The sequence below is a fragment of the Homo sapiens genome, chromosome 8 (assembly GCF_000001405.40).
Source record: "Homo sapiens chromosome 8, GRCh38.p14 Primary Assembly".
In the NCBI taxonomy this organism is placed as follows: Eukaryota; Metazoa; Chordata; class Mammalia; order Primates; family Hominidae; genus Homo; species Homo sapiens.
The window spans coordinates 1,795,447-1,815,839 of NC_000008.11; the positions used below are offsets into that span (position 1 = coordinate 1,795,447).

The 20,393-nt window shown below is 48.9% G+C and overlaps 1 long non-coding RNA gene and 1 other non-coding gene across 2 annotated transcripts, besides 6 other annotated features; one reads left to right on the forward strand and one right to left on the reverse strand.

Annotated features, from left to right (window-relative positions):
- Positions 4,610–5,809: an enhancer, noted in NCBI's record as "CDK7 strongly-dependent group 2 enhancer chr8:1748222-1749421 (GRCh37/hg19 assembly coordinates)". NCBI's record gives its function as "activates an origin of replication core promoter dependent on BRD2, BRD4, P300/CBP, MED14 and CDK7 cofactors, with strong dependence on CDK7, by STARR-seq in HCT116 cells {active_cell/tissue: HCT116}" and the evidence as "EXISTENCE:reporter gene assay evidence [ECO:0000049][PMID:35650434]".
- Positions 4,610–6,304: a biological region, named in NCBI's record as "CDK7 strongly-dependent group 2 enhancer GRCh37_chr8:1748222-1749421".
- Positions 5,643–6,304: an enhancer, noted in NCBI's record as "OCT4-NANOG-H3K27ac-H3K4me1 hESC enhancer chr8:1749255-1749916 (GRCh37/hg19 assembly coordinates)". NCBI's record gives its function as "activates a minimal SCP1, AML or CMV promoter by ChIP-STARR-seq in naive and primed H9 embryonic stem cells {active_cell/tissue: H9 hESC(naive and primed)}" and the evidence as "EXISTENCE:reporter gene assay evidence [ECO:0000049][PMID:30033119]".
- On the forward strand, positions 5,679–5,746 carry MIR3674 (microRNA 3674). The gene has a single exon (NR_037445.1). It is a non-coding gene; the product is annotated as a microRNA 3674 (primary transcript).
- Positions 6,965–7,625: an enhancer, noted in NCBI's record as "NANOG-H3K27ac-H3K4me1 hESC enhancer chr8:1750577-1751237 (GRCh37/hg19 assembly coordinates)". NCBI's record gives its function as "activates a minimal SCP1, AML or CMV promoter by ChIP-STARR-seq in naive H9 embryonic stem cells {active_cell/tissue: H9 hESC(naive)}" and the evidence as "EXISTENCE:reporter gene assay evidence [ECO:0000049][PMID:30033119]".
- LOC105377779 (uncharacterized) lies at positions 15,381–18,762 on the reverse strand. Its single transcript, XR_941353.3, has 3 exons — positions 18,465–18,762; positions 16,204–16,326; positions 15,381–15,997 (listed from the first exon to the last, which is right to left on the reverse strand). It is a non-coding gene; the product is annotated as an uncharacterized LOC105377779 (long non-coding RNA).
- Positions 18,735–19,236: an enhancer, noted in NCBI's record as "H3K4me1 hESC enhancer chr8:1762347-1762848 (GRCh37/hg19 assembly coordinates)". NCBI's record gives its function as "activates a minimal SCP1, AML or CMV promoter by ChIP-STARR-seq in naive H9 embryonic stem cells {active_cell/tissue: H9 hESC(naive)}" and the evidence as "EXISTENCE:reporter gene assay evidence [ECO:0000049][PMID:30033119]".
- Positions 19,237–19,736: an enhancer, noted in NCBI's record as "H3K4me1 hESC enhancer chr8:1762849-1763348 (GRCh37/hg19 assembly coordinates)". NCBI's record gives its function as "activates a minimal SCP1, AML or CMV promoter by ChIP-STARR-seq in naive H9 embryonic stem cells {active_cell/tissue: H9 hESC(naive)}" and the evidence as "EXISTENCE:reporter gene assay evidence [ECO:0000049][PMID:30033119]".

Sequence of the window (20,393 nt, forward strand, 5' to 3'; positions counted from 1 at the left end):
CATTCTTTCATACATTCTCTCTTTTCCTATTGCCTTTGGGGTGAGTTGCCTCTAGCCTGCTCATCTGGCTTTGGCTGCATTTGGCCTCATCATGTTCCTTATTTCAATTATTTCATTGGATGCTAGACATTCCTTCTTCCCTGCTTTATGTCTCTGGTGTCTGCCTTTATCTCTTTGAATATGTTTATTTGTATAAATTCTTGGTGCATCTGTTTTAAAACTTTGAACAGGGGAGGCTGAGGTGGGCAGATCACCTGAGGTCAGGAGTTCGAGACCAGCCGGGCCAACATGGTGAAACTCTGTCTCTAATAAAAATACAAAACTTAGCCAGGTGTGGTGGCGCGGGCCTGTAATCTCAGCTACTCAGGAGGATGAGGCAGGAGAATCGCTTGAACCGAGGAGGCAGAGGTTGCAGTGAGCCGAGATCACGCCACTGCACTCCAGCCTGGGCGACAGAGCAAGATTTGTCTCAAAAAATAAAAATAAAATAAATAAATAAATAAACTTTAAATGGCATCCTTAGCTCAACTTGTTCTTGTTCAGGGGTTGCAGTCCTTGGGTAAATAAAATAAATAAATAAATAAACTTTAAACAGTATCCTCAGCTCAACTCGTTTCTTGTTCAGGGGTTGCAGTCCTTGGGTGTTAGCTCTTTGGAGTGGGTGTGTTCCCCCTGGGGTATAAGACACTGGTCGGAAGATCCCAGGTGAGGTCTTCCCCAGAACTGGGGTTGGGAAGGGAAAGAGTCTGGGCTAACCACTCCATTAGCTGCAGCCCTACCGCCAGCACCTGGGGGCAGGGAGTTACAGTCAAACTCTTAAAAAACAAATAGCCGAAAGTGCAGTGAGGTTAAGCATCCCCTGAGGACTGGACGAGCAGACCTGCCTGCTTTGCAGAAGACGGGGAGGGGAAGGAGAGCAGGGCCATCTCCTGCCCAGCCCCGAGCCTCCCTGATAGTCCTCCCACCCACCCAGCTCCGGATGATGCTCCCACTCACAAGATTGCTGCTTTTTCCATAGACCGGTAGGAACTCCAGGCCTTTTCTCCAGCTGTCCCTGAATTCTCCTTGTTTCCTTCCTTCCTAACTTCCTCCATCCAAGGCTGGAGGCCCCAGTTTGGAAATCAGGACCCACGTCCCCCTCCACACCTTCCTATTTGTGTAGTTCTGTTTCGAGTCTGGACTCAGTAAATCTCTCTGTCCTCCTGGACCAGGTGTTGGCGCACTGGGGCTGCCGTGGAAACTGCCCTGGATGTTTCCCAGTCATTACAGATCCCAAGACACTCCTAGGTCCCAGATCCCCAGATCTGGAGGAAAGGGGCCCCTTCTGCCAGGCTTCCTCCCTGGGTCACAAACTCACATCTGCCTGGACTCCCACTGCTGTCTCTCTCTTTCTCTCTCTCTCCCCTCTTTTTAACTGTCCACTAGGTTTTATGGATAACTCCTGAGAGAATGTCCCAGTCTGCTTACCATCACATTGATCCCGCCCACCAGCATTGAGGCTCTGCACTGTCTCCCCTCCCTTGCCTGTCCAAAGCCCCTTCCACCCGGGACCGTCGCCCCTTTACACTCAGGGGTACTGGTCCATCTATGCCATGCTGAGAGCTGCTGCCATGAAAAGACCCCTGGATCTCACCCCCTCCAGCAGCTACCTCTTCTCTTTCTAGAGAAACCACCTAGAAGGACTTCCTACACACACCAGCCCCACCTCCTCTTTCCTGTTGTCTCTTAGGCCCAAGGCCCACCACAGTGCCCTTTGCCCCCCACAGTCACCCCTGCCAGGGCACCGGCGGCCAGCACTTGCTCCACCAACCCTTCCTCCAGAAGAGCTTTTTTGGGAGGGATCCTGGAGCCCGATCCTGGTCCCCCTCCCATCATCCTAACCTCCTCCTGTCTTTCTTCTCCATCTGTAGGATCTTCCCAGGCAAAGTCACCTGTAAATCACATCCATACCCAAGAAGCTCCCAAAATCTCACTTCCAGCCCAGACCTGAATACTGGGTCAGCTGACACCTTATCTGGAGCATCACACACTTTCTACAGCCTCAGGCCACCCACACCAGGGCTTTGCTTTCCCCCACAAGGTGCTCTTCTTCCTGTTACCTCCATCTCGGTACAGGGGGCTGCTCTCCTTCCAGGTGTTGCAGTCAAAACTTTTGGGATTTTTCTTGATTCCTCTTTCTCTTCAAACCCACTTCCCATCCCGAGGCCCGTCCTGTTGACCTAGCCTGTTCATAATAAAGCCCTGCGCCCTTTCCTCCTCCTCTAGTGGTTGGATGAGTGTTCGTGTACCAGTCACTAATTTGATCCCAGAGTCTCCACTAGAGACAGGAGATGCCTCTGCACACACTGACACACACCGAGTGTCACAGCAATTCCACTGGTGGGAGACAGACACCCCGGAGCATTTCAACAATCGCTTTTCTCTGTTGAAGTTTTCTTCTGCCCCATTCACTGTCTCCTCTGACCACACAATTTGGTTTTGCCTCTTTCTCCATGTCGAAGGCTTCCTTGTGTCTGGTGGTCTTCGACTATTTATTTCTCAGCATGAGGCACTGAGAAAGGATGTGGAACCCCGGGTGTGCGTGTGTGTGTGTGTGTGTGTGTCTGTGGCATAAGGAGGTTTGCCTGTGGGACCGGGGATAACCAGGGAGGCGCGTGGGTCTCATACTGAGGAACTCTTGAATCACGCAGATTTTTCTCATGGGTGTGTTTCCCTGAAAGGAATTCTGGGGTCCCTGGGGTGCGGGGCGGAAGGATCTGTCATGCTGTCCCCTGGGGTGCGGAGCGGAAGGATCTGTGATGCTGTCCCCTGGGGTGTGCGGCGAGAGGATCTGTCATGCTGTCCCCTGGGGTGTGCGGCGAGAGGATCTGTCATGCTGTCCCCTGGGGTGTGCGGCGAGAGGATCTGTCATGCTGTCCCCTGGGGTGCGGGGCGGAAGGATCTGTCATGCTGTCCCCTGGGGTGCGGGGCGAGAGGATCTGTCATGCTGTCCCCTGGGGTGTGCGGCGAGAGGATCTGTCATGCTGTCCCCTGGGGTGCGGGGCGGAAGGATCTGTCATGCTGTCCCCTGGGGTGCGGGGCGGAAGGATCTGTCATGCTGTCCCCTGGGGTGCGGGGCGAGAGGATCTGTCATGCTGTCCCCTGGGGTGTGCGGCGAGAGGATCTGTCATGCTGTCCCCTGGGGTGTGCGGCGAGAGGATCTGTCATGCTGTCCCCTGGGGTGTGCGGCGAGAGGATCTGTCATGCTGTCCCCTGGGGTGTGAGGCGGAAGGATCTGTCATTCTGTCCCCTGGGGTGCGGAGCGGAAGGATCTGTCATGCTGTCCCCTGGGGTGCGGAGCGGAAGGATCTGTCATTCGACTGCCACAACTCTTGGATCCAAGTAGGCAAAGGCCACTGTTCTTTCACTCCTCCTGCTTCCCATTGCTGCCTCAGGATCTCCATGACAGTGTCTTCTGGCCGATTCCTCCTGGGCCCTCCGAGCTGGGCTGGGGCTGCCACCTGCCCTCCTGGGTGTGGAGCAGGACCTGGTGATCCTGTGCCTCCTGCTTTCAGCCTCGCCTGATGTCCCCTTTCAGAGATGCCTGAAAGGCTCTCCCTGTAGCTCCGGTAGCCTCCTCTGGTTGGCCTCACCGGTGCCCATTCGTCCATCATCTGTCCATCTGCCTCCAGCCCTCAGACTTTGCCATGGCCCTCTGCCTTTCACTGTCTTGGCACTGGACCATTGTATTCCTCCTCCTGCTCCTCCTTCTTCTTCTCCTCCTCCTCCTCCTTCTTCTTCTCCTCCTCCTCCTTCTTCTCCTCCTCCTCCCCCTCCCCCCTCCCCCTCCCCCTCCCCGTCCCCCTCCTCCTCCTCCCCCTCCTTCTCCTCCCCCTCCTCCTCCTCCTCCTCCAATTCTTGTTCTTCTTCTTCTTCTTCTTCCTCTTCCTCTTCCTCTTCCTCTTCCTCTTCTTCTTCTTCTTCTTCTTCTTCTTCTTTTTCTTCTAAATGGAGACAGGGTCTCACCATGTTGCCCAGGCTGGCCTTGAATTCCTGGCCTTGAACAATCCTTTTGTCTCGGCCTCCCAAAGAGCTGGGATTACAGGTGTGAGCCACTACACCCGGCCATGCCTTCTATCTTCTTTCTCTACTTTCAACACTTAAATATTTTTAGCCAGGTTTCAGCAGGAAATGGATGGACATGAGGGCTCTGTCTGCCTGTTGGACCAGAAGCCCTTGCATCTGATCTAAACAAACCCCTTCTTGCCTTTGTTAGGGTTTCTGCTTGGTTTTATTCACAAAATTGACGTCTCAACTCTAATATTTATGTTCTTGTCACAGACAACTGTGATAGACTAATCAGTTACCTAATTGTCCTAAACCCAATCTTTTAATAAAATCTGGTTTCTTAGGACCTGGAGCGACAGGTTTGCGAGAAAGCTCCTCCCTGGATGAGGCCAAGAGCGTGGGAGTGAGTTCCAGGCTCCCAGAAGTGGGAAGTATTTTGGAAGTATTTTGGATTTAGGCGGTAAAGAATTCCCTATAAAAATAGCTGAACAGATTGGCCTCATATCACTGTGGGACTTTCTTGGAACATGAGGTGAGGTTATGGGTTGGCTTGCAAATAAAACCAAACACATTTCCCAATGAGGGAATGGGGCTGTGGTTAGGATGGGATCCGTGGGGGTTCTGGGGTGCTGGCAGGGCTCTGCTTGTGATCTGGTTACATAGCTATTTGCTTTATAATCATTTAGTAAATGTGTGATTTGTGAATTCTTCTGCATATGTTTTATTTCACAATAAAATGTCAACTTTTTTTTAACAACTAAGCAAAGTTAAGAACAATGCAGTGTAATTTCCTCGGAAATACGCTTTGACAGTTATTTAATTGGGCAAGTGGAAAATTACTTTTTATGAAGATGGTTTCTGCATATCATGAAAATGCCGTGTGCTGAACCATGCAGTAAGTGAAAGCGTCTAGATAAGGGCAGCCATTTGTTCTTCCCGATAAGGCACTCTCTACTGTTTTCTCTGGAATCAAACTGGCACGCCTGATGACTGGTGTTTTTATAAATCAGTGAGTATTTACATGTCTCAAACAGGCAAGTTTAAAACCACAAAGTCAGGGGCATGTTAAAAATTTGACTTCGGGTCTTAACGATCCACTGATCTTTTCATTTCTTCATTTTGGGTCCGGCTGCTTTGCATGAGGATGTTTTTCTCCCGTCTCTTATTGCCTGGCTTACAGGAGAGTTGGGTGATAGGAACACAAGGAGCAGAGAACGCACTGGCCTCTGACAGCCGCTCTGTGCAGATTCAGTCCTTCAGCCACCCGCAGGAATTGCCGCCAGAGTAGGACATGTCTTCTACCCTCTTGGAAGTGATGAAACCACCTTTCAGAAATTACAGCAGTGAGAAAACTATGACGTTGAAAGATACCTGATCTAACCAACCCCCATCCTGCCTTTGACCTCCAAACTGTCTTTCATCACTCCTAGGCCTGGGCCAAACTAATTTTGGAAGATATTTATAGTTTAAACGATAATAGCCCTTCTCCCGAACTGAACTGCCTGTGTAAAGCTAATGAAAGGCCAGTAGGTTAGGAGGATGAGAGGAGCCTGGATTCTGCTAAAATATAGATGTAAACGACGACCAGCCATTACTCTGGAGGTCACAAGATTTGCAGCTTCTGCAGATAAACATCACTATTGTAGAACCTAAGATTGGCCGTTTGAGATGTCCTTTCAAGTTTTTGCATTTCTGATGTCCGACTGATCCTGTGGCCCCACTCAGAAGCGGACTCCCTGGCCTGCTAAACTACCCTTGAAATACAGTAGCCTCCAAATTTTCAGGGAAATTGATTTAAGTAATGGTCAGGCCTCTGAGCCCAAGCCAAGCCATCGCATCCCCTGTGACTTGCACGTATATGCCCAGATGGCCTGAAGTAACTGAAGAATCACAAAAGAAGTGAATATGCCCTGCCCCACCTTAACTGATGACATTCCACCACAAAAGAAGTGTAAATGGCTGGTCCTTGCCTTAAGTGATGACATTACTTTGTGAAAGTCCTTTTCCTGGCTCATCCTGGCTCAAAAAGCTCCCCCACTGAGCATCTTGCGACCCCCACTCCTGCCCGCCAGAGAACAAACCCCCTTTGTCTGTAATTTTCCTTTACCTACGCAAATCCTATAAAACGGTCCCACCCTTATCTCCCTTCGCTGACTCTCTTTTCGGACTCAGCCCGCCTGCACCCAGGTGAAATAAACAGCCATTTTGCTCACACAAAGCCTGTTTGGTGGTCTCTTCACACGGACGCGCATGAAAGGAATAACTCCATCTCCCACGTGGCGTGGCTGGCCTCGTGTCAGTTAAACTTTCTTTATTGCAACACCATGGTTTCAGTGAATTGGTTTTCTCTGTGCAGTGGGCAGGAGTTTTAATTTCTTAATTTTGTAGCCAGCCTTCAGGCGGTGACAGTGATTGGACAATCACTTTAGTAGCATGAGATACTGAGGCTACTGCACTCGGATGGAATGGGCAGGAAACATGACTTGAATGCACCATGGACTCTACACCAGCATCTGTCCCCTGCAAAAGGGGCTCTGGGAACTAGAACAGTCATTCCCACCTTCTGAGCGCATTAGATCACTGCAGGGAGCATTGGAACGTGCTTTCCTGGGCCGCTCTGGGCCCAGGCTCCCATGTGAGCATCCGTTTTAAACCAAAAATAAAATTCCGAAAACCAAAAGCCCCCCATCCAACTGAATGGACCCCTACTCTTGGCCAAGAGGATTCCAAACAAACCTGAAAAACAAGTCAGGCCGGACGGGAAGGGGAGGGTCTGATACGCCTCATTGTATCCTCTCCCTTTGGGGTCAGGAACAGCCGATGGCATTAACATTAACACAGAGACCTTCGGACTGACCAGACAGGCTCTGGAAGTGATAGGAACAAGGCCTAGGGTGCAGGAGGAGCCTCGAGGGCTCAGCTGGGCTAGCCTGGGTGGAGGGGCCACAAGAAACCCCTGAAATGACAGAGGTCAAGTTTCATGGCCAGAAAGACTGGAGTCAGAGTGAGGAAGGGGGATGCAGTGGCCAGCCTTTGCTGGGAGCTGCCTCTGTGGCCACACCCAAAACTCCTCCCCCTGCATCGGCCACTCCAGTCCTTACGGTGGAACCACAGGCTCTTGTGAAAGGAAGATAAATCTCGAGACCCCAAGTCACTAAGCCAAAGGGAAGAATCAAGCTGGGAACTGCATCAGGGAATCCCGCCTCCCATTTTACTTAAAACTGCAGATGCAGGCTGGGCATAGTTGTTCACACCTGTAAGACCAGCACTTTAGGAAACTGAGGCAGGAGGATTGCTTGAGTCCAGGAGTTTGAGACCATCCTGGGCCATGTAGCCAGGCCCTGTCTCTAAAAAATAAGAAAAAAATGCAGATTCACTAAGCCAGACTAAGGCAAGAGTGACTGTTCCTCTACCCCCCTTTCACATGTAAATTGTGTATTTGGTGAAAGAAGGGCTAATCCCAGACTCAAAAGAATGCAACTGTTTGTCTCTTATCTGCCTGTGACCTGGAAGCCCCCACTTTGAGTTGTCCCATCTTTCCAGACCAAACCAATGTGCATCTTACACCTACTGATTGATGTCTCACGTCTCCCTAAAATGTATAAAACCAAGCTGTGCCCCGACCACCCTGGGCACATGTGGTCAGGACCTCCTGAGGCTGTGTCACGGGCTCATCCTTAACCTTGGCAAGTAATATGGTTAGCCTTGTGTCCCCACCCAAATCTCATCTTGAATTGCAGTCCCCAGGGACACAGCTGGCCGGAGGTGACTGGATCATGGGGGCGGTTCTCCCCATGCTGTTCTCGCGATAGTGAATAACTCTCACGAGATCTGATTTTTTTTTTTTTTTTTTTGCGACAGAGTTTTGTTGCCAAGGCTGGAGTGCAGTGGCGTGATCTTGGCTCACTGCAACCTCCACCTCCCGGGTTCAAGCGATTCTCCTGCCTCAGCCTCCCGAGTAGCTGGGATTACAGGTGCCTGCCACCACACCTGGTTAATTTTTGTATTTTTAGTAGAGATGGGTTTTCACCATGTTGGCCAGGCTGGTCTCGAACACCTGACCTCAGGTGATCCACCCTCCTCGGCCTCCCAAAGTGCAGGGGTTACAGGCGTGAGCCACTTCGCCCAGCGATCTGATGGTTTTATAAAGGGCAGTTGCCCCAGGCTCTCTCACACTCGCTGTCCTGCTGCCTTGTGAAGAAGGTGCCTGCTTCCCTCTTGCCTTCCGCCATGATTTTAAGTTTCCTGAGGCCTCCCCTGCCATATGGAACTGTGAGTCAGTTCAACCATTTTCCTTTGTAAACTACCCAGTCTCGGCTATTTCTTTATAGCAGTGTGAAAGTGAACCCACACGGCAAAATAAACTTTCTAAATGGATGGAGACCTGTCTCAGATACTTTTGAGTTCACACTTTCATCTGTGGGCTGTGGTGTAATAGCATCTTTTCAAGCCTCCCTGTGGAGGTGGGATCTTTTGGAGTGATTATTTATTTTTCTACGATGTGTAGCTTAATTTATGGTCTATGTACATTTTCCCCTTTGCAGCAGCTAACCTTCACTCATTTACTATAGTGATTTTTAGAATTTTTACTGTTTGTCAATAACTTCCTTTGCAAAGTGTTCCTGCTTTCTGGCATGACTTTTTTATTTTATTTATTTATCTTTTTTAGACAGAGTCTCGCTCTGTCACCAGGCTGGAGTGCAGTGGCATGATCTTGGCTCACTGCAACCTCTGCCTCCCGGGTTCAAGTGATTCTCCTGCCTTAGCCTCCCAAGAAGCTGGGACTACAGGCACACGCCACCAGGCCCAGCTAATTTTTGTATTTTTAGTAGAGACGGGGTTTCACCATGTTGGTCAGGCTGGTCTCGATCTCTTGACCTCATGGTCTGCCTGCCTTGGCCTCCCAAAGTGCTGGGATGACAGGTGTGAGCCATGGCGCCTGGTGTGATTTTTCTGTAACTACATCCTACTTATTCTGGACTAATGAGAAAATAGCAAGGGTGTCCATCTTCATCAACACTGCCTTGTTTGGACAGTTTGGTACAGGCTTCAAGGTTTCAGGCCTTAAGCTTTTGCAAATCACTTGCTCAGAAAAACTGGGGACAGCAGGCCCATTTATATTCATTTTAAACACTTGACAAGAGGAAGATGTCATTTTACAAAGGGTAAATGTTTCTTTGGGTTATGCTGATAGGTTACTGTTAGTGCTAATTTAAAAAGACATGGTGTGTCAAAATATGGCTAACTGGTTCTTATATATTTCTTGCTAATTCAGCCATGAATAAAATGGACTTGTACATATTGATACTTCTTATCTATTAAAGAAATCCACTCATTGTTTTAATCAGTATATAAATGTAATAAGTATTAGTTTTGGAAATACAAATTACAATAAAGAGGGAAACAGACCATGTGTTAATATCTTGGTAAATTTCCTTCCTGTTGGTTCTCCTGTGTGTCTGCCCAAGGCCATGCACTAGCAGCGTTTCCTATGTTTGATTCACACCTTGCATAACTTACACACACTCCAGAGGTGGGTTTTATTCCCATCTGTACTAGTTTTAGGTGCGGCTGGGAGACGTGGAAGGAGGGACATGGCATGGCCACCACTGGGCGGGAGAAGTGAGCCTGCTTCTCCAGGATCTGCCTCTCCTCGCCTGTGGACCCAGCTGCTGCTCCTGCTTCTCCAGGGCTGTGGACCCAGCTGTCTCCTGGGTTTTCCTTGGGGCTGATTTTCACATGAAGCTGCTAATTTGGTATAGGAACACTCGGGAGTTTTGGTTTTCATTTCAACATCATCCCCTCCCCACCCTGCCCCCAGATAATCCTGTAACTCCAGGTCTCTCACTCACCTGTACAAGGAAGGTTTTGAAGTGGAGGCTACCTCATGTCCTATCCCCTAAATATTTTCAGTAATATTTGTATCAATGGATTTTCTGAACCTTTAAAAACTAGAAATTCTCTCTCTCCACACAAAATATATATGCTGTACATACTATATATAGTCATAAAAATGTATATACAAAAATTAAAAGTATATGTAAAAAGGGGCTGGATGCGGTGGCTCACACCTGTAATCCCAGCACTTTGGGAGGCCGAGGCAGGTGGATCACCTGAGTTCAGGAGTTCGAGACCAGCCTGGCCAACATGGTGAAACCCCATCTCTACTAAAATTACAAAAATTAGCTAGGCATGGTGGTGGGCGCCTGTAATCCCAGCTACTTGGGAGGCTGAGGCAGGAGAATCGCTTGAAATCAGGAGGCAGAGGTTCAGTGAACTGAGATCGCACCACTGCACTCTAGCCTGGGCAACAAGAGCAAAACTCCATTTCAAAAAAAAAAAAAAAAAAAAAAAAAAAAAAAAAAAATATATATATATATATATATATATACACACACATATACGCAAAAAGGAGATTTTAATGAATATATAATTTTGTCAACTAAAAAATACAGAAAAAAAAGAATGGCTAAAAATTATTGGGTCTACAACTTTAGAAATTGAATAGTAGAACAAACCAAAAGTATATTGAAGGGAGAAAATAAAAATAAGGCCAGAATTAATAAAGCAGGAGATAGTAATTCCATGGGTACAAATGACAGAATGGATTTTGAAAAGACAGAAAAATTGGAAACCTCTAGCAAAATGATCAAAGGGAAAAAGAGACAGAGAAAAAGCATGGAGGTGCAGACCAACAATCTGAGACGTGACTTCAGAGTGTCCACGCAGGACCCCGCAGAAGTAGGTGAGTGTGGCCTTCCCAGGTGAAGGGGGCTTTGCAGATGTAAGGAGAGGATCTGAAGGGGGAGATTGTCCTGGATCGTGTGGGTGAGTCCAGTGTATTCCCAAGTGTTTTTGAAAGTAGAAGAGGAGGCAGAAGTGTTCAGGGGTGGGCGACAGCATATGGACTCAGCCCAGCATTGCTGCTTTGGAGGTGGGGAAGGGGCTGCAAGCCCAGGAGAGTGTAAAGTGCAAGGCAAGTCTTCTCCCTGGAGCCTCCAGATGGGAATGCAGCCCTGCCACTGCCATTTCAGCTCCGAGAGAGCCCTGCTAGATTGTGACCTGCAGATACACAACCACAGACAGTCAATTTGTGTTGTTTTTAAGACTAAGTTTGTGGCCGGGTGCACTGGCTCACATCTGAATCCCAGTACTTTGGAAGGCCGAGGCTGGAGGATCTCTCGAGCCCAGGAGTTTGAGGCCAGCCCTGGCAACATAGTGAGACTTTGTCTCTACAACAATAAAAATAAAAAATTAACCAGGCATGGTGGTGTGTGCCTAGTCCTAGCTACTTGGGAGGCCAAGGTGGAAGAATCTCTTGAGCCCAGGAGTTCAAGACCAGCTTGGGCAACATAGTGAGACCTCATCTCTACTAAAAATAAAATAAATTAGCCAGATGTGGTGGAGCACACCTGTGGTCCCAGCAGCTTGGAAGGCTGAGGTGGGACGATTGCTTGAGCCCAGCAGGTTGAGGCTGCAGTGAGCCATGTCCAGCCTGGATGGCAGAGGAAGACCCTGTCTCAAACAAACAAAAAAACCGAAGTTTGTGGTAATTTGTTAAGGAAGAAATAGAAAACTAATACAGGCATGTAAAGGAATCCATATCTATACGGGCAGCAGAAAGTAAAACAATAATATGACAAGCTCATAAGCAGCTCCATGGCAACACATTTGAAATCTTAGAATCAATGCACACATTCCTGCAAATATAGAAGTCCCCAGTACTGGCTGAAGAAACCTCAATAACTCTTCTTAAAAATTGAGTGAATAAAATTCTTCCAGCAAGAAAATGAAAGTTCCAGGTGCTTTTATGAGCTACTTCTATCAAAAATTTCAGGAAGAGAGAGTTTAAAATTTAAACAGACTCTTCCAGAGAGTAGCAAAAATTCAAATATTTGATGAGGTCAGTTTCAGCTTGGTGAGAACAGTATGAGACAGGGAAATGGCAAAACTCTCATTCATGAACAGAGATGGAAAAAAAGACTTCCAAAGTTAGCCAATCAAATACAGCAATTCTTTCAAAAATCTTTTACCTTGAATCTCCACATTACTACCTAAAGTAAAAAAAAAAAAAAATTATATGTTTATTCAATAACTGCAGAAAAGGCCTTTGATAAAAATCAAACCCCATTAATAATAAAACCTCCTAACATATTAGAAATGGAAGGGAACTCCCTTAATCTGATAAAGGGTATTTACACTCATATCAGATAAGCAAAATTTAACTCATAATACTCAGCCCAGTCGGTAGAAGTTTAAACAGTTTCAACTATTTGGAAAACAATTGGTGTCATCTGGGGAAACTGAAGATGTGGAGACCTAGTACCAGCAAATCCACTCTCAGACACACACCCTATGGAACGCATAAGCACATGATAAACATATATGTGAATGTTCACATCAGTATTGCTTATAATAGCCCTAAACCAGAAGTGACAGACATGTCCATCGGCGTGGTATATTCATGACTTAATTACTGTAGAGGAGTGAAAAAGAAGGAACGTATTGGGAACGACAAAGAAAGCCTCAGAAAAACACATGTAGTATGATACCAGTTGTATAAGATACCAAGAACGTGCAAAGCCACCAGGCGTGGTGTGGTGGGCCTATAGTCCCAGCACTTTGGGAGGCTGAGGTGGGCAGATTGCTTCAGTACGGGAGTTCAAGACCAACCTGGGCAACACAGCGAAACCCCATCTATAGAAATTAGCTGGGCATGGTGGTGCACACCTGTAGTCCCAGCTACTCGGAAGGCTGAGGTGGGAGGATCACCTGAGCTGAGGGAAGTCAAGGCTGCAGTGAGCTGTAATACCACACTGCACTCCAGCCTGGGCAACAGAGTGAGACCCTGCCTCAAAAACAAACAAACAAACAAAAAAACATGCAAATCTAAACATATACGAGAAAGACAAGCAGACACAGGCTGGGTTGAGACGTGGGTATTAGAGCAATAAACTAAAGCAAGGGATGATCAAACCCCAATTTAGGATACTCCAGGTACCACTGGGGATGGAGGAAGGGATGGAAGTATCCTGTTAATAGTCTGTGAAACTGAGTGATAGGTACAGGGTATACATCCTATTATTCTTCCTATCTGTGTGTGTGCTACATGGGTGATTCTGCACATGTGCAATAGGTCAGGAACTTTCATGATATGCTAACATGATCTCAGGTGAGATACTGGCATTATGCGCTTGGTTGAGTCAATTATGTGGTGCTTTATGGAACGAATGGCAAAGAAACCAAATAGCAAGATTTGTCTGCAATGAAACTTTAGATTGGTACACAGCCGTCTACTGGTTGGGCACTTTGAGCTCATGTATCTCAACTCATAGGCCTACGAGTTAAACACTTTATCCACAGCTATCCAGCTAGTTGAAGCGTGAAAATTAAGATTTGTATATCTTTTTATTTTCAGCCAGATGCACTTTTTTTTTTTTTTTTTGAGACAGGGTCTTGCTGTGTCACCCAGGCTGGAGTGCAGTGGTGCAATTATGGCTCACCACAGCCTGGAACTCCTGGGTCCAGGCGATTCTCCTGCCTCAGCCTCCAGAGTAGCTGGGACTACAGGTGTGCACCTTCATGCCCGGCTAATTTTTGTATTTTTTTGTACTGATGTAGACTCACTGTGTTGCCCAGGTTGGTCTCGAACTCCTGGGCTCAGGCAATCTGCCCGCTTTGGCCTCCCAAAGTGCTGGAATTACAGGCGTGAGCCACCGCGCCCAGCCCCAGATGCACATCTAAATATAGCAGGATGTTGCTTCTTATAAATACGAGTTAAGTTTCCTATGATTTCAACTAAGATATCCATGTCTGTTTTCAGAAGAGGAAATGCTTAGGAGGATTTAGAATTGATACCATTTCCCCTCGAAATAGTTTGCTAATATGGTTCGTGTTCTGTAACATGGAAGGCTTGTGTAAGTTTTACTCGGGAAGGAAATAGAAGGGATTTAAACAACGCCATTGTGAATATGGAGTGAGTCAGAGTCTTTCTACAAATGCTTGAAAATCTTGGCTGGGTCCAACCCAGCGGTGGCCAATATTGTGGAAATACAAAGGGCGAGTCTGTTTGGTTTTGAGAATAGCTTCCTGGTGGTCTGTTTGTTAAATATTTCAGTTCTATCAGAATTAAATTTGAGGACAATTAGGTGAAAATTGAAAAAAGTTGTTAAAATGTTTAATTATGCCTGTGATAGAAGAACGGAATGCACCGGTATGAAAAGCATGCCAACAGCACAGGCACCTTCTGGGGAGCAGCTGCACATGGAGCCCCTGACTCCAGACGGCTGCCTGCAGGCCGCGTGTGGAGGCCGCGTGTGGAGGCCGTGAGTGGAGGCCGCGAGTGAGGAAAACTCCCCGGCAGCGTCGCTCTGACTCACACGAAACCTGCCAAAGCCATAGGCCCATGCATTTGGAATAAGTAATATAAAATAAGGTTTCTATACCCGAAAGTAAACCAAAGGGAAAAGTATTACAGAGTAATATAATTGAATAAAAAATCATTTAAAATTTCTATTAAACATTGGTGATCAAAAAAAGATAAGTGGGCCAGGCACAGTGGCTCATGCCTGTAATCCCAGCACTTTGGGAGGCTGAGGTGGGCGGATCACCTAAGGTCAGGAGTTCGAGACCAGCCTGGCCAACATGGTGAAACCTCATCTCTACTAATAATACAAAAAAATTAGCCTGGTGTGGTGGTGGGTGCCTGTAATCCCAGCTACTCAGGAGGCTGAGGTAGGAGAATCGCTTGAACCCTGGAGGCGAAGGTTGCAGTGAGCCGAGATTGTGTCATTGCACTCCAGCCTGGGCGATGAAAGCGCAACTCTGTCTCAAAAAAAAAAAAAAAAAAAAAAAAAAAAAAAACCTGCCAAAGCCACAGGCCCATGCATTTGGAATGATAAGTAATACAAAACAAGGCTTCTATACCCAAAGTTAAACCAAACAGAAAAGTAATACATAATAATATAAATAAGAAATCATTTAAAAATTTCTATTAAAGATCGATGCTCAAAAAAAGTAAGTGTAATTAGGAAGAGTGAAGAGGAAAGACTTTAGCAGAACCTGAAAGAGACTGGCAGGGTCGACAGAGGAACTTCAAGGTTCGGACTGTTACTTTCACCTGTTGGAGAACTTCATAAATGAGGATGCACGGTGTGAACTCGTGTGTCTCACTCCTTGCACTTGGCGTCATATTTTGAGATGTTTCCATGTTGTTCTTTTTCACTGCTGAGTACCATTCCATTGTATGACCGTAGCACGATGTGTTTATCTATTTACCTACCGATGCGTTGTTACCAGTGGGGCTATTTTGAATAAAGCTGCTAAGAACTTTCTTGTTCTTAAAACATAAATTTTATTACTTGGTGCGAACACCTAGGAGTAGAGTTTCTGGGTCGTGTGCTTACTTTGTAAGGGACTGTAAACTCTTTTTCAAATAAAACGTATTACTTTACACTCCCATAAGCAACATTTAAGAATTCCAGTGATTCTGTGGCCCTGCCAACACTTTGTATTGTCAAACTTTTTAACTGTATCATTCTAGTGGGTAAACAGCTCGTTTTAATTAAATTAAGGGTAGGGTCATTTTCAGAGGATCACAAACAGAACAAAGAGAGGGAAACAAGATCAGAGTTCTTAAGGGAATTAAGAAAAATAAGAAAGATGATTGAGAAAAACTAAGGACACGGTACCCGCATTGTCCCTTAGGGGGATGAAAAGGAGTGTTCAGCAGAAATCAGTCTGATGTTCCTCTACGTGCTGTAGGTAGAGGCATTGGCCCAGCGGAGCGAAAACCATGTGGAACAGGTGGAGTGAGAGGTAACTTAGCGGAGGCGTGCAGGGCCCACCGTTTGTACCGGCTGCTCGAGCGTTACGTATCCATTAGGACTCGTACGATCCCATTCTAATCAACCACTGGCCTTCCTACTTGCAGCACATACATCCTAGAAATCTGAAGAGAATAAATATTTTTATATAAAACTTTTGAAATATTTGAAATATTTCTTAAAATGTCATGCCATCTGCTGATGTGGTCCCGTGGGAAAGACGGAAACCAAGAGTTATATGATTCAGGCTTCCCTCAATCTCTGCAGACCACAGAACAAACTGGGGAGAGATGAACAACAAGCCGGCCCACCCGCTGCTGCAGGAACTCACGTTTCTGAGAGCCTTGCCCTTAGTCCGCGTAGTGGGAGGGAAGCCTTGCAGGTTCCTGAGATTCCATATGGCTCCAGGTGTGCATTCTGTAGAGTCGGGCTGGCGGCCTAGCAGAGAATGCGACTGGAAGGAGAAAACGGGGGAAAACGGGGGGGAAAGCAGAGGAGTCATCCCAGCACGGACCCCGAAACCTAGGCAGGGTGGCAAATGGCAGGGGCGGAGAAGGGGCGGATGTGGGAAAACTTGCCCAGCCCAAGGGGATGCCCTGCAGCAGCGAATGGCTGGGACAAGTCCAGCGGGGACAGAGAGCAGCCTAAGGGCCACCCCAGGTTCACGCAGGCCCAGGGGGAGGCCTCTGCAGAGGGAAGGGTCACGAGGCCAGAGAACATGGAGGGCACACAGCGGGGTGAGAAGCAGACACAGCCACGGTGTCCTCGCTCAGGTGCTCTGCAGACTCAGACCCAGAGTCCAGAATTCACACGGACCTGTGTCTAGGGAACAGTCCCCGAGAAGCTACCAGTGGGGGGAAGAGGGGGTGAGGAAGGGGAGGAGGCCACACGGCTGCATCTTTAGGGAGTCCCGGCCCAGCTGGACCCTCAGAGGGTTCTACAGCACGAACTTCACCTGCCCGAGACCCCTCATATCAGCCCCCAGGCTCTCCACACCTGAGCCCCTCAGCCATGGATATGGGAGACCCAGCTCTAGCAATGGGCAAAGTGTCCCCACAGCCCAAGGACAGACCCCAGACCAAAGATGAGGAGGGCGGCTTTCAGGAAAAAAGAAAAAAACTGTAGGATGGGCGACGACACGGGAGAAGATCCCGGGATGGAGGGGAGACCCCACTAGGGGATGGAGGGGAACCCCCACTGGAGGAGAGACAGGGAGCTGTGAGGGATCCTGGGATGGAGGGGAGCCCACACTGGGTGATGGACAGGGAGATATGAGGGGTCCTGCGATGGAGGGGAGACCACACTGGAGGATGGACAGGGAGATGTGAGGGGGTCCTGGGATGGAGGGGAGCCCACACTGGAAGATGGACAGGGAGCTGTGAGGGGTCCTGGGATGGAGGGGAGCCCACACTGGAAGATGGACAGGGAGCTGTGAGGGGTCCTGGGATGGAGGGGAGCCCACACTGGGTGATGGACAGGGAGCTGTGAGGGGTCCTGGGATGGAGGGGAGCCCACACTGGAGGATGGACAGGGAGCTGTGAGGGGTCCTGCGATGGAGGGGAGACCACACTGGAGCATGGGCACAGGGGACTCTGAGGGGATCCTAGGGCAGGGGGAGCATGACTGGCCGTCTTTGAAAGGAGTTTTGAACATTTTCAGTGGAGTTTGTTGTGCTTGTGAATTTTGTGCCTGTTTTGAACTAGCAATAGAATCACAGGTAAACTCTGCACATCACAGGACTGCTGTGGCCTTGAGCAGGAAGAGGACTGTGTCCCCTGTGAACAGAGCTGAGGAGCTGTTATACAGCACGTTGGTTTCCCTTCAGATAAGCGTGCCCATTCAGCCTGCATGTTTCTGGATACAGTTGGACCCAGCACCATATTTTCCGTCCCTCTCTGACTATTTTTCATCTTCTTACTCTCCTCCCGTATCTAGTAACATTATGCCTTATGAATTTCCCACGTCCCTCCTCATGTGGTCCCGCATCCTACATCTTTCCTTGCCCTTGTTCCCTTGTAAACCTACCTGTCCTCGAAGCTCTTCCTAAATGGTCCTCAAATGACTAGTGTGGATCTGGCCAACTGCTGGTGTTCAGCTGTGTGCGTTATAAATGCGGGACTTCAGGAAACACCCTTACGTTATAACTGAGGCTTTCAGTGCTTTAACCAGGAGTAACAGGGAACTTCAGGCCAGTGGGTCAGAAGGACGGAAGACTCACCTACACAGGCGTGTTTTGGGTGTGGGGCACTCTCCCCTGTGGCCCTCAAATCATGGCCCATCCTGGCCACGTGTCCTGCTATGCACTGACCCCTCCCCACGCTCTCCTATATGCTGAGGGCTAGAGCATGTTCCGAACGCCAGGTCCCCAGTGCAGGAGAGAGCCCTGGATGTCACCACCAGAGCCCCTCCCCCGCCCCACCCGGGCCCCACTCCTCCCCCACCGGGCCCCACCCCACTCCCCCACCCCCTGCCCCACTCCCCAACCTCCTGCCCCCCTCCCCGACCCCTGTTCCTTCCCCCCCGCCCCCCCCCACCCCACTCCCTCCCGCCCCTGGTTTCTGCATTGACACTCCTTCCAGCCCTGCCACTGACCTCTGAGCTGTGCTGGCAGAGGCTGGCTCTAGATGACGGAGGGGAAGGACAGGGGGCAGGATGGAGGGAGGTGCTGGTGGGGCCTGCCCCACATGAGAGTCGTGGCCCTCCCTGGGCCTTAGGTGAGCCCCCGCAAAGGGGAAGCATTTAAAGGGAAGCACTTCCTCCATCCTCCCTCACCACGTCCTGAGCTGGGTCATTCACTTCCTCCATCCTCCCCTAGCACCTCCTGAGCTGGGTCATTCACTTCCTCCATCCTCCCCTAGCACCTCCTGAGCTGGGTCATTAGGAGAGTGGCATTCCCTTCTTCCAGTTCGCTCCTCTTCACTTCTCCCTCCCATTTGAGCAAAGCAAGAAAACAGGCTTAGTTGTTGCAAGAGCTCTGGAAACAAAAACATCACTGTTTTCCTCCTGGAACAATGCTTCCTTCTCCCCCACCGCATTCATGCTGACTCCTTTGAAACAGAGGAACAGTGTTAAGCCTCTGGATCTTTTCTGGGTGCCTCCAGCCTCCTCTCTGCTGCTTCTCTTTTTTACCTTTCCTCTCCTCTGCCCCTCTTTTGCCTTTGGCCTGCCCTCCATCAAACGGGGGATGGATGGAGCGGGCATGGGAATCAGACATGTTTCAGGCAAGCCACCTACAGGGCCCGTCTTGGGAAGGCCGGCTGTCCGTGCTGGCTGCTCTTCGGACACAGGCATCGTATAATTTCCCTCTTTTCACTCCTTCCTTAATGACCACCTTCTACTTACCAAGGTGCATTTCTATTTTTGTTTTGTTTTGTTTTTGAGAGAGTCTCACTTTGACGCCCAGGCTGGAGGGCAGTGGTGCCATCATAGCTCGCTGTGGCCTCACGCTCTTGGGCCCAAGTGATCCCCCAGCCCCAGCCTCCCAAGTAGCTGGGACCATAGGTGCACGCCACCAGGCTCAGCTATTTTATTTATGTATTAATTTTTTTGTAGAGGCGAGTCTTGCCATGATGGCCAGGTTGGTTCAAGGTGCATTTCTAATTCAGCAGACCAGACTAGTGTGAGTGAACCCCTAGAGACACACTGCAATGCTCGTTTATGTAGCTAGGGACAAGCCTCTGTTTCAGCCAGACCATCCGCTCTAGGCTCTCCAGCCGGGAAGGCAAGACCCCAAGGCCACTGAATGCCCCGTGAGATGTGGGTGTTGGCATCTATGCTGGGAGCCCTCGCTGTGTGGACTGGACTATCTCTTAGCTTGGGATGAGAGGAGGACCATGCTCACGTAGGGAAGCCGAGTGTGCCGAGTGTGTGTTCTGTCTGCCCCTCCACTTTCCCTTCTTCTGCAATCCGTTTTCCTGGTGACATCTACCCACTGTTTTCTCCCACCGAAATGTCCGCAGTGTGTTCCTCAGCCTGTTTGTGTTGCTAGAAAGGAACACCTGAGGTTAGGTAATTTATAAAGAAAAGAGGTTTATTTGGCCCCTTTTTGTACTAGAAGCATGGCGCCAGCACCTGCACCTGGGGAGGGGCTCAGGCTGCTTCCACTCACGGTGGAAGGGGAAGAGGAGCCGGCACGCGGAGAGATCAGAGAGAGAAAGTGGCAGGAGGCGGCCAGGCGCGGTGGCTCATGCCTGTAATCCCAGCACTTTGGGAGGCCTAGACAGGAGGATCACCCGAGGTCAGGAGTTTGAGATGAGCCTGGGCAACATGGCACGACCTCATTACTACTAAACATACACAAATTAGCCAGGTGTGGTGGTAAATGCCTGTAATCCCAGCTACTTGGGAGGTTGAGGCAGGAGAATTGCTTGAACACAGAGGTGGAGGTTGCAGTGAGCTCAGATCGTGCCACTGTACTACAGCCTGGGCGACAGAGCAAGACACCAAGACTCCGTCGAAAGAAACAGAAAGGAAGGAAGGAAGGAGAGAGTGAGAGAAAGAGAAAGAAAAGAAAGAAGGAAA